The sequence below is a fragment of the Homo sapiens genome, chromosome 5 (genome assembly GCF_000001405.40).
Source record: "Homo sapiens chromosome 5, GRCh38.p14 Primary Assembly".
In the NCBI taxonomy this organism is placed as follows: domain Eukaryota; kingdom Metazoa; phylum Chordata; class Mammalia; order Primates; family Hominidae; genus Homo; species Homo sapiens.
Window position 1 is genome coordinate 38,446,316 of NC_000005.10, and position 13,083 is coordinate 38,459,398.

Consider the following 13,083-nt stretch of genomic DNA (forward strand, 5'->3'; position numbering starts at 1 on the left):
CTTTCCTTTTCTGTTTCCCGTCCTTCCTTGCCCGGTGGCTGCCTTCTCTCCCGGTTGTCTTCCTCGGCACTTTCTTTCCTCCTCTTCTTGCTGCAGCGTCCCTTCTTTCTCATTCATGCCACCCGTTTTCCTACTCGGCTCCTTTCCCGTCCTCTTGCCATTTTGCCCCCCAACTCTTTTTTCCTCCCTGTTTCCCTTCCTCGTCTCCTCTTCCTCCTACCTCCCTTAGTCAGAAGGGAGTGGCTGGGGGTGCAGCCCCAAACTAAGTGACAAGAGCCTTCATCTCCGGCCCTGCTAGGTCCTTGCAGCCTCAGGCCCTCTTCCAGGGCTGTGCTGCTTCAGAGAACCACAGAGCAATTTCTTGGGTAGTTACCTCCAAAATTGTCTTTTAAATTTTCTGTTTCGTCCTTTGCTTTTCTTGTTTTCTTTCCTCTCTTCCTTTCTTTTTTAGTTTTTATGAAAGGCTCTGGGAAGCTGCCAACATAGGGACTTGTACTTGGGGGCCCATTGTCATAGGCTTTGCTGTTTCCGCTCTTTTTTTATGTTTGAAGGTTAATCTGTACGAATTTTCATAGTATCAAATAATTCTACATTTCCTCTCTGGGGTGGAGAGTCCTTCGTTCAGTGTCTTCTTTGCACCAACCATGTATTTTCGTGAAGCTATAACGTGTTTTATAAACCTTCTTATTCTCCCTCATTTTGTACATTTCTTTGAATTTGAGATTTATTCTACCTTAATTTCTTTAAACCACCATTTCTGTATCTTTCCAAAGAGGAAAGAGATATTGCTGTTATTTCTCCAGCAGAAATCCCCTAGCCTCATCCCCCGTTCATGACATCACACACAGCTACTTAAACTCTTCTTTTGCTAACTATGTGTAAAAGGGTAATTCCTCAGGAAAACAAAGTGATGAGAGTTTGGGAGGAAGAAAATGCATTTCTAAAATATTGGAAAGTTGAGAGGGGGCCAGAAGCCAGAATTAAGAAGAGCTGGTCAGTTTCAAGGCCTAGTGCTCTCTTAACTACGTGATCTCAGGCAAATCCTCCATGCTTTCTACTCCTCACTTTCTTCTTCCATAAAATGAGAATAACCAACCCTTCCCTTCCCCCATACTACCTGCTACTTCATGAGATTGTAGTGAAGATCTTGTGAAATAGACCAGGCACAGTGGCTCATGCCTGTAATTCCCAGCACTTTAGGAGGCCGAGGCGGGTGGATCACCTAAGGTCAGGAGTTCGAGACCAGCCTGGCCAATGTGGTGAAACCCCATCTCTACTAAAAATACAAAAATTAGCCAGGCTTGGTGGCAGGTGCCTGTAATCCCAGCTACTTGAGAGGCTGATGCAGGAGGATTGCTTGAACTCAGGAGGTGGAAGTTGCAGTGAGCCAAGATCGCGCCATTTCACTCCAGCATGGGCAACCAGAGCGAAACTTTGTTTCAAAAAAAAAAAAAAAAAAAGATCTTGTGAAATACACTGGAAAGTGATCAGAAATGCGGGAGTCCAAGCCTCATTCATAGTGCTTTAGAGTCTCTCGAAGTCCTAGCTTAAAAGGTTCTGCAGCAAATTAGCTTTCAAGAATCCTAGTGGGCCTTATTTAGGGATTTGTTTTCTCTGCCTCCCTAGGAGAACATCTGGGGTTATCCCCAGCTGCTCCCCACATGGCCCAAGAGCTGCTCTTTGGCTTCCAAGAATAATTGGGAACAGTTCAAGTTTCAGCACATTGTGAGGCCTTCTCAGCAGCGCTGAGGCCAGAGGCAGGGACAATACTTCCCCAGGAGGGAAAAATGGGGGAGAAGCCAACCCCAGGCCATGGGGTTGGGCAACTGTGAACCTGGCCAAATATGCGTGCAGCCGAAGGGAAGGGGCTGATGAATTGTTAAACATCCTATTTCCAGGAGCTGGGTGTTTTCCTGCCATGTGTGTGAGTGCAGGGGTCAAGAGAACCACATACTATGTAACCTCCTTTTTCTGTTCTGTCCCAGCGATCATAGAAGCCATTGAGATCCCGCAGTTTATCGGCCGCAGTTACCTGACGTATGACAACCCAGATATCTTGAAGAGGTAATAAGCTTCAACAGGCACCTTCCTCAGCTTTCTGGGGGTAAATTTCTCTATATCTTTCTCAGGGCTTTTTCTTATATTTCATGCCAGAAGATAATTCTCAAAGAAGACCATTCAGCCATGGCCTCAGGGGAAAAACACACACAACAAGAAATAAACATAGAAACTAGAGCAAAATAAAACAAAAAACAAACTAAACTTGAGAAATTGACCTTTCAGATAACCCTGTTACAAAAGATCCAGTATCTTTCTGGTCAAAGGGCCTGGAGAGAGAGACACGACTGGTCCCAGAGTTTCCAGTATTCAGGCTTCGAGAAACAGTGAGAATGTGATGTTCCTGAAGCCTGAGTGATGACTATGATTCTGTGAGCAGGGCAGTTCCGTGCTGTGCCGTGGCCAGAGTGTGCAGCTCTGACCTGGGCCAGCAGCAGAAGGACAGACAGATCCAAGCCCATTCCCTGCTGAGTCCATACCTACCCTGCGTCTTCATCAGCAAAGGTCTCTTGTCCTCTTCAGGCTCTGGCCAGTTCAGTGAGAGGCTTCTCAGCTCTCTTCATGTGGATACAGGGAAATGCCCAAGTCACAGCCATGGCATCTCACCCCTGGTGGCAGAAGTCCCAGCCCTGGCCTGGAGTCCTCGCTCTTGGTTTGGAATAGCCTTTGACATGGCAAAATCCTCAACTCGGTCAAGCTTGTCTTTGGCACTTTCAGTTTGCCCCTTATCTCTTTCTTTCCCTTCCCCAGTTCTTTGTGGTTTCTAGTGTGCTATTCCCCTTTCTGCTCCCCACACAATCATTCTGGGATTTTCCTTCCTCTTCAGATTGACTGCATCTTAACACACAAGGGCAAATCTTTAAGCGAAAGGCATCCAGTTCTTAGGGTGGAGTTTGGTGGCTTTTCAGGGAACAAAATGTGGTTGGGAGGAATTCTCCTAGGGCATTGGATGTCCCTGGTAACGCCCAACACACACCAGGCAGACACTGCTTCACTTCTCTAATCCCAGGTTGTATTAATCTACGTTGTCTTGGCATGGGGACTTAGGTAAAATGGATTCCCAGCCAAGAGAGACCGTCCTCCTTCTTCAGCCCTTTCTCTCCAAAGATGGAAGGTCATTCAGTCCCTAGAAAGCAGTGACAGCGTGAAAGGGGCCCAAGCCTTCAGTCTCTGGGGGTTAGTGAGAGACCACTAGGTGGTTTGGGGGAGTAGAGGGGCTTGATGAGAGCAGGAGACATGAGGCCCAAAACCACAGCTACCTCAAGGGCCATAGTGTGTGTGTATGTGTGTGTGCGCATGCATGTGTGTGTGTGTGTGTGTATGTATATGAAAGTATAAATGCATGTGTGTGAGGCTGCAGGTAAAAGTCAAGTTCAGGGTCTATTTCAGTCAGATATCTTTGGTGCCAAGTAACAGAAAGTTCAGCTTAAAATGCCTTACCCATGAGGGATATTTACTATTTCATATCACAAGGAGTCCAGACTTACACTGGATCTTGGGTTGATTAATTAAGAGAAGCAGCTGTACCCTCAAATATTCCAATCTCATCCCTATTTCTTGCTTGCTGTCCTCAGCGTCTTCTCCAGAGGCCACTCCCCAGCTGCCCATAAGCTGCACATAAGATGACTCTGACTACATCCAGTGGAAGTCCAAAAGACTTTTTTTCTCATATGACTCTTTTTAAAAGAGAAGGAATTCTTCCCAGAATTGTATCTCATTGGACAAAAGGGATATGATTGTGTCTCTTCTGTGCTGCCACATGCCTGCCCCTAAACCAATCACTGGCAAGAGAAATGAGAACCTCTTGATTGGCTTGTAACCAATCAATATACCCAAGGCAAATGGGAGAGGGAAGGAACCTGAGCGAAAATCTGGGCAAAGCAGGTCTCTAGGGAATGGGTCAGTGCTAGATTGTGCTGAACCTGGCCTGGGGGGCCTCGCTCTTCCCTCACTGTTCTGAGGCCCTGCATGGGAAATGCAAACTTGGTCTCTTCCTGACGAGCTCAGGCTCTGGGAAGCCTAGATAATAGTTCCCTCCACTGTTCACGATTGAGGACACTGCAGACACAGACCCAGGTGTGTGAGACAGACAGAGGGATGGCTCAAGTGACTAGAGAATGGACAAAGAAACTTTTCCAATGACATTATGCTAGTAGCAATGTTAAATTATGTTTCCTCCTATCTCACCCTTGATTCAAGGACCTCAGCCTTCCTCTTTTCTCTGTGCAAGATGAAACACTGATCACACTAATAAGAATGAATTTCTGAACTAGTCTATTCCCAAGCATTGCTAAGAGCATGTCAGCCTGTGAACCTATTCCCAGCCGTGGCTATAGAGCATGGAGCTGGCCTAGCCTGAGCACCCCTCCTTTCCTCGAAGCTTCCTGTTCTTCTCCACCCTGGCTCTGCCTCAACACCACTCCAGACCATTCACTATCAGGCCTTGTTCCTTTGTCTGAGACGCCATCGCTTGGGTATTTTCCCTGTCTAGACCTTGTCCCCAAGGACAGTCACCGGCCAGAGCTGGCCATCCACAGCCGTGGTCCTAGCCCAGAGTGGCTGCCAATTTGAACCTCTTGGTAATTAGGAAACACACTTTCTGTTGGGGAATGGGGCCCCTGAGTAGTAAAACAGGAAAGAGAAAAGAATGAGGTGTGTATGGGGGTGCAGCCTAAGCTGTGACATTGGCCATAGTCTTGCTAATCTGTCACTCAGCAAATGCTCTCTGGTGGGGTTCACAGTGCTTGGGGAGAGAGACTGCTGCTGAGTGAGCAGTCCAGACCTTTAGACCCGTGGTGCGACTCGTGGTAATGAAGTAAGTGTCAGAAAGTGCCAGACTATCCTTACATCTGGTTCCTCAGGGCTGGCAGACAAAACTGGAATTACTCGGAAACAGATGTTGGTGGTTGATTTGGTGGACTTATTTGTGTATTTCCTCCAGGGTGTCAGGATCAAGATCAAATGTGTTCATGAGGTTTAAAACAACTGCCAAGGATGGCCTTTTGCTGTGGAGGGGAGACAGCCCCATGAGACCCAACAGCGACTTCATTTCCTTGGGCCTTCGGGATGGAGCCCTCGTGTTCAGGTAACCCCCTCTCCATCTGCCTTCAGCAGCACCTTGCGATTTTCTCAGACATTGCAGATCATGCCAGAGTGATTCAGAAGGGAGCCAGAACACAGTCTGCTGGAATTGGCTGAAGCCTGAAGCTTCAAGGCTTATTGGAAGCTCCTGGTCTTTCTTTCCAACATTCATCTTATAGAGCAGCAGTCAGCAAACTATGGCCTGCAGGCCAAATCTGACCCACCACTCTTTTTTGTAAATAAAGTCTTGCTGGGGCCGGGCACAGTGGCTCACGCCTGTAATCCTAGCACTTCGGGAGGCCGAGGTGGGCAGATCATTTAAGATCAGGAGTTTGAGACCAGCCTGAGCAACATGGAGAAACCCCATCTCTACTAAAAAATACAAAAATTAGCCGGGTGTGGTGGCAGGCACCTGTAATCCCAGCTACTAGGGAGGCTGAGGCAGGAAAATGGCTTGAACCCATGAGGCAGATGTTGCAGTGAGCTGAGATCGCGCTACTGCACTCCAGCCTGGGTGACAGAGCAAGACTCCATCTCAAAAAAAAAAAAAAAAAAAAGAGTACAGCAGTATTCCAACAGGACTTTTTTTTTTTTTTTTTGAGACAGGGTCTTGCTGTTGTCGCCCAGGCCAGAGTGCAGTGGCGCAATCTCGGCTCACTGCAACCTCTGCCTTCTGGGTTCAAGTGATTCTCTTACCTCTGCCTCCCTAGTAGCTGGGATTATAGCACGTGCCACCATGTCTGGCTTTTTGTATTTTTTGTACAGACGGGGTTTCACCATGTTGGCCAGGCTGGTCTCAAACCCTGACCTCAGGTGATCCACCCGCTTCGGCCTCCCAAAGTGCTGGGATTACAGGCATGAATCACTGTGCCTGGCTTGTACTCTCTCATTTATATATTGCCTGTGGCCATGTTCATGCTACAATGGCACACTTGAGTAGCTTCAATAGGAACTGCATGGCAGAGCCTTAGGAATTGACCGTCTAGCCCTGTGAGGAACAATTCTGTGCCCTTGTTCTAGTGTGTTACTGCTGCATGTTCCCTACTCATAAATTAGGAAGGGGCAGAAAGAAGACTTGGATACTGCCAAGCACAAAGGCCAAGCATAGAAGTGAGTACTCAGCCTAAGACTCAGCAGCTCAGGGAGGTCTAAAACCCTAAGCTCCAGGAGCCCTGACTTTAAATTCTGACTCTGCTCCCTGTTAGCTGTGTAGCTGTGGGAAGGAGAATCCCTGCTTTCAAGTCTCCTGCTGCCAGAGGAACAAAGCACAGATTCATGTCTCAATAGATCCACCCAACATGAGAGTTTTGTAAATACTTCTTGGGTGTTACCGATAACGCAGTGCCAGAAGTTCTTCCCTCTTTTAAGTGAATTTAGACTGTTTCCAAATTTGTCAAATGCATAGCTATGAAGTGGTTAAAGAATTACCTGAATGAGTTCTCCCCACTCTTCTTACCAGATTGGGTGAAAGCTGAGCTTCCAAGGGGCAGGGCCTGTCTCGTGTAATATCAAAACACTTCTCTAGAGATTGTCATGGCACATCCTCACATGAGGTTAGACATCGCTCATCTAGACAGTGGCTTTCCAAGTGTGGTCCCCAGACCAGCAGCCCCAGCATCACCTGGGAACTTGTTAGAAATCCACGTTCTCAGGCCCCAACCTGATCTACTGAACCAGAAACACTCTAGGGGTGGGGTCCAGCAATCCGTGTGGTAACCGCTTCCCCAGACGATTCTGATACCCTCAAAGCTTTGAGTTCCATGGGGGAACTCATTTCTTGGACTTCTACTTCTTAATTCACCCTCTGATGACTAGCTCAAGTGTTTGCTAAATGATATGAAAGTAATTGAATTGAAATAGACAAAGCAGGGATCACTAAACAGTGGAGAAGCTGAAGACTTAATTCTGGGGCTTCTGTTGGTCCTGTGCTAAGATTACTGACAGCCCAAGTAGGATAACAGAAATCTTTCTGTTTGAATAAAAGGCATTTTGAGAGGAAATGTCACTTGTCCAATGTTATGCTATTCCCTAAATAGCAGAGCATGCTAAGTGACTCCATCTTATGATTGTTGGGGACTTTGGAGACTCATATGTAGTTGAGGCTGGATGCTGGCAGGTGAGAGGCAGCTTCTCACCATCTCTGCCTTCCTGTCCTCCGTAGCCTCCCACCCATTGCTAGCCCAGAGGTTGAACACGGAGCTCTTCACACCCTATTTCAGGCTGGCTGCCTTGAAGCCATTTTCTTATGGTTTTCCTGTGGTTAACCTCATCAAGGCCTCAAGTACTTGATTGTGCCCAGAAAAGAGAACCGAAACAGAAGCTCAGCTGTGGGTGGGATGGTCCAACTTCCCCCTAAACTGCCAGCTGAATCTATTCACCACCCATTCTACTCCAGTAGGGAAACAGCTCCCACCAGCTCCCATGCCCAGCCCTGGAGAGCCCCCTCCCCTCTCCCACCTGCTTAGGATCCTTCAAAGAGCTCTGCTTTATCCTGAACATACTTCTTGTTACCATTTCTTTCTCAGGATTCTGAAAATTGGCCCTCTGTTTTTCTTCCAATCCTGGAGTTCTGATTGTGATCTGTGTAAGACACACTGCTGAACCCAGGCCGAGGTCGACTTCTGTGCCTGCTCTGGTCCTGGAGCCGCCCCATTGCTGCCACTCTGTTCTTCCTCCATCTGGGCTGTTATCCCACCACATCAATGTCCCCGATGCTGATGTAGGGAAGCGTACCGGCGGGCTGGGGACAGAGAGGAATTCCAGTGTAGGCCAGTGGTTTGAAGATGTCAGCGGTGTGGTGGGCACCGGGTCTGATTAGAAACAAGCACCCGGGTGTTTCCGGGACCCATGCCCTGAGAAACAGGGTCTGAAGTGGCTTTGGAATCACACATGCCTGATCCCCCACGTGGGCTCATGAGTTACCTAAATCTCAGCCTCTGTCCCCTCCTTGCAAAACGACAGGGTTCGCTGTAAAGATTAAATGAATGAATTCATGTAAGGGGTTCAGTGTGGGGTCAGGTGTAGCTAATTAATGATAATGATAAGAAAAATTATGATCCTTGCTCAAGCATTTTCTGAGTCTTAGAAGCCTTTACCTCAGAGAGAGAACACGTAGTTATTATTAAAATGTAGTTCTTATTTTTATTATTGTTATTGTTATTTTTAATAAGTCACGGGCCCTGCGCCCAAGGGGCACAGATCTGTGCAGTCTGGAGAGTGAATTGTTCTACAGAGCAGACAAATCGTTCTTGAGGTTTCAGTGTTTGATCCAGGCTCAAAGCAGATGGAAGAGGAACCCTAAGATAATAAAATATAGTCCCAACTTTCATGACTTTCTTTACCTAAAAGCTGGTTCTTTGGCTAATTTAGTGCTCAAAGGCTTTCTGCCAGAGAATAGGGAAAAACAATGGGATTCTAAAAATGTATATATGTATATATATTTATAGTTTTGGTGCAAGATTTAGCAGAAAAAATAAGGAAATCAAAGTGCTCAGTGAAAATGAGTGTGTTTTTCTGTTTTCTGTTTTGTTTTTGTTTTGTTTCATTTTGTTTTGTGATTGTATGTGGGGCATAAAACCTACCACCGGTGGGGTTTGTGAACATTGCTTGACTGTTCACAGTGAACACTGCCCGCTTAGTTTCACCTCATCACATCTTCATGCAACGAAGAGGGGGAAGAGACTTGACATTAGCAAAGTGCCTTGTGCTACAATTTAAAGGGGGCATGATTAAAAGTGCCACCACAGGAAAGCAGGAAGGTGGCCGAGTGGTTTCCAAAAGGCCTCACCTGAAGGTATTTCCGGGTGGCCCACCTTGGTGCTCTGGCTCACAGCCTCTAGTGCACACCAAGCTGAGTGGCTCAGAATAACCCATCATGGCAACCAGGTTCCCAAGACGTGGGTAGAGAAGTTAGACATACATTCTTATATCTGTTTGTTTCTACATTTTTATACTGAGGCATACCTTCCATGCCATGCACACCTGTTCAGTGTAGAGCTTGATACATTTAGAATATGTAAACACTGAATCACTGTCACCCAGAACAAGATATAGAACATGTCCACCACCCAAAAATGCTCCCTCATTCTTCTCCCAGTGAAGGTAACCACTCTTCTTGGTCATTTATGATTATATACACGAGGGAGCTTTTCCAGGGTGAGTATCAGCACGTCAGAGGAAGCGGGAGGTTCTTTGGAGGGTCTGAAATCAGATGGAATTGAAGGGTTGGGGAATCGGGCCATGGAGAAGCCAACTGAGTTGCCCCCTCCCACAGTGATGGCTGGATTCCTGTCTGCCAGGTTCACGGTTGACTCCCTAGAGCACATTCTAGCTCTTGGCCTGAACAGGAGAGTTGTCGGGCTGCAGAACAGAAGGAAGGGCACCCTTTGTCTAGATGGGCTCTTAGACAACTGAAAAGGTTTTCATTCACTGCACCACAATCATGTTCCAATCCAGCCTCCCTTCACGTACACAGCCAGATCACCTTGATTCTGAGATCTGGGTGTTCCGGACTGCTTTGGTTATATATTGACAGCTTGTTGGCTTACTTTCACACATGGCTAGTCTTCAGAAGAGGTGTGACATATTCAAGCCTTGGTGGCAACTTTCTCCTTCCTACCAGTCCCTTGGGGTGCATTGTCAACCCCGTATCCAAGCTGCACTAAGTGCTGCCTCTGTTGGGAGTGGTGGGATTTTTCATTTGGCTCCTACGATGTGCAGTGCTTCCTACATATGTCATGTTACTTAGCATTCCCTAGGATTCTTCAGGGAAGGGATTATTATCCCCGTTTGACAGATGAGAATATGAAGCAAGTTGCCCAAGGTCACAGAGCTGTTAACTAGCGAGTCTGGGGATCAAGGCAGGTCCGTTGAATCTGAGTGTCCGTGCTCTTTCTATCACCCCACGCTGCCTCTCAGAACGGCCATAGATAGTAATTCAGCTAAGTTTCTGCCCACCAGCAACTCGCCCTACTTCCTATTCATTCAAGAAGTATTTAGCCACCAAATCATGAAATCTCAAAATTCCGCCACCAGGCTGCTTTATACAAGGAGGTACTTGATGTGGGAAAACTCATTAGAAAACAGTGGACTTTTCAGGGTCAGAGTGGCAGCTTTGTCCCAGGGTTTGTCAAGTCACCCCAAGTCCTATTCTTGGTTAAATGTCAATGGGCTGTGTGAGTTCTTCGAGCCTCCATTATTAAAGGAATGATCTATGGTGCTTTCTCTGGAGAAAGCCAAGCACTTTCTATTCTTGCTGTTTTCTCAGAATGAGTACATGCCAGTGCTTGTTAACTCATCCAGATTTTCTCTCGACATCCCTCTCTCTTGGGCAATGAGGTGAAGGAGAGATATGTCCTCTTACAAAATGAGGAGGGAGTCATCCCAGGTGGAACATACTTCCCTTCAAAAGCTTGATGGCCTAGGCTTTATTGTATTATCCAGGGAAAGTCTGGGCAGTTGGCCCAGTGCCCGGGCTAGAGTAGTCACTCACTAAATATTTGTCGAATTAAATTTAATTAGAATAATTGAATGAACACTGGATTAAGGGGGATATTTCTCTCTGGTAACAACATGTTCATGTTTTCTGAAACCCTTATGGTATCGGGGTATCTGGGAACTGAAATAGAAAATAGGAAGCCACTAGAGAAACCTGATAGCAGAGTTAAATGGATAAGGGCAGAGGATACACCAAGTTCAAGTTCTACATTAGGTTTGTGATTTTAGGCAAATTCCCTTAATCTCTCTGGGGCTCACCCTACTCTGCAATGTTCATTTTTTTTTAAAAAGTGAAAACAGATGCATTCATTTCTTAGGGCTCTGATAATACATGACCACAAATTAGGTGGCTTAAAACAATAGAAGTGGGCTCTCTCACAGTTCTGAAGGCTAGAAATCCACCATGCAGTGCAAGGGTTGGCTTCTTCTGGAGGGTCTCAGGGAGAATCGGCTCCATGCCTGTCCCCCAGGTTCTGGTGGTGGCTGGCAGCCCTTGGCATTCCTTGGCTTGGAGATGCCCCATTCCAGTCCCTGCCTCCAGTTTCCCATGGCTTTCCCTGTCTCTGTGTGTCTCTGGCTCCATGTCCAAATCTCTTCTCATAAAGATACCAGTTATATTGGATCCATGGCTGCCCTAATCCAGTATGACTTCATTTTAACTAATGAATCTGCAAAGACCCTATTTTCAAATAAGTAACATTCTGAGGCTCTGGGTAGACATGAATTTGGCGGGTGGAGGGAGGGGGCAGACCATCATCGTAACATAGTATAAAACATTACACATGATAAAGCCCTTCTTGTTATTCCTGATACTTTAGTACTGATGTTGCCTTACATGAGGGCATTAAAAAACAATCTTGATAACATTATGCTAAGTGAAGTAAGCCAGTCACAGTCACAAAAAAGACAAATACTCTATGATGCCACTCATATGAGGTATGTAGAAGAATCAAATCCACAGAGTCAGAAGGTAGAAGGCTGGTTGTCAGGGGCTGGGGGGAGGGAAGAATGAGGGGTTATTATTTAATGCAATGCTTTTGTTTTGTAAGATGAGTTTTGGAAATTGCCAGCCCAACAATATGAATATGTACTTAATGCTGCGGCACTGTATGCTTAAAAATGGTTACGATGGCCATGGTTATGTTACATATATTTTACCATAATTTAAAAGTTTAATAATTTTTAATTTCATGAACCAGCCTAGAAACCCAACAACTTTTATAACACTCTTGTTTTTTGTTAAGGAAACTGCACTCTGAGTTGCAAAGAACTTTTGCCCTGAGAATCGTCTGTGAACCGTGTCTGCTTATGCCTCAGTGTTTTATTCTGTTCTCTGTCTTCTTCTTCTCCAATGCCTTAGCTATAACCTGGGCAGTGGTGTGGCATCCATCATGGTGAATGGCTCCTTCAACGATGGTCGGTGGCACCGAGTTAAGGCCGTTAGGTGAGTCCCTCCCGCAGCATGAGGCAGAGCCAGAGCTGAGCAGTGGTGGGATGTGGTGTCCAGTTCCCTTGTAGTCCCACTGTCCTGTTCCCCAACTTTGCCTGGCATCCTAGTTACCCCTGATCCAGGGCATTCAGGGAATTTTCTACCAATTCCCGCTGTGCCCTACATTGACACTATCAGGCCAGGGAAACTGAACCCCCAAACCTTCATTAAGCAGTAACCTTCTGGAGAAGAAACCTTTTGATGGCTGATCTGGAAGAACCTTGAGAGTTCAGTGTATGTGGACTTTAAAGAATGTTTGGGCCGGGCATGGTGGCTGACACCTGGAATACCAGCACTTGGGGAGGCCGAGGTGGGTGGATCACCTGAGCTCAGGAGTTTGAAACCAGCCTGAGTTACATGGCGAAACCCTGTCTCTACAAAAAATACAAAAATTGGCTGGATGTGGTGGCACACGCCTGTAATCCTAACTACTCGGGAGGCTGAGGTGGGAGGACCGCTTAAGCCTGGGAGGTGGAGGTAGCAGGATCATGCCATTGCACTCCAGCCTGGGTGACAGAGTGAGACCCCATCTCAAAAAAAAAAAAAGACTTTCAAATCTCATTGTACAGGCAATCCTCCCCCCTCCCTCTGGCTTTTTTTTGTTTGTTTTGTTTTGAGACAGGTTCTCGCTCTGTCACCTAGGCTGGAGTACAGTGGTGTCATCATGGCTCAGTGCAGCCTCGCTTGACCTCCCAGGCTCAGGCAGTCCTCCCACTTCAGCCTCTTGAGTAGCTGGGACCACAGGTGTGCACCATCTGCCTTGCTATGTTGCCAGGGCTGGTCTCAACCTCCTGGCCTCAAGTGATTCTCCCACCTTGGCCTCCCAAAGTGTTGGGATTACAGGCATGAGCCACTGCACCTGGCCACTTTTTTTTTTTTTACACATTACCTAAACCTTAGAACCTGACTGTATTTCACTCAGCCCCAATTACATATCTCCCCCATCACAGAGGTAATCA

At 46.7% G+C, this 13,083-nt stretch overlaps 1 protein-coding gene and 1 long non-coding RNA gene across 5 annotated transcripts in view; one reads left to right on the forward strand and one right to left on the reverse strand.

Annotated features, from left to right (window-relative positions):
- The window catches only part of EGFLAM (EGF like, fibronectin type III and laminin G domains), a 206,922-nt gene that overhangs the window by 187,757 nt on the left and 6,082 nt on the right, over positions 1–13,083 (forward strand). For all 4 annotated transcript variants that reach the window (NM_001205301.2, NM_152403.4, NM_182798.3 and 1 more), the window contains 3 exons: positions 1,986–2,064; positions 5,000–5,143; positions 11,996–12,079. In NM_001205301.2, coding sequence (NP_001192230.1) covers positions 1,986–2,064; positions 5,000–5,143; positions 11,996–12,079 — 307 coding nt within the window. The remainder of the gene's footprint in view (positions 1–1,985; positions 2,065–4,999; positions 5,144–11,995; positions 12,080–13,083) is intronic.
- EGFLAM-AS5 (EGFLAM antisense RNA 5) overlaps positions 1–13,083 on the reverse strand; it is a 33,866-nt gene that overhangs the window by 11,815 nt on the left and 8,968 nt on the right. The gene's annotated exons all lie outside the window — the stretch shown is intronic.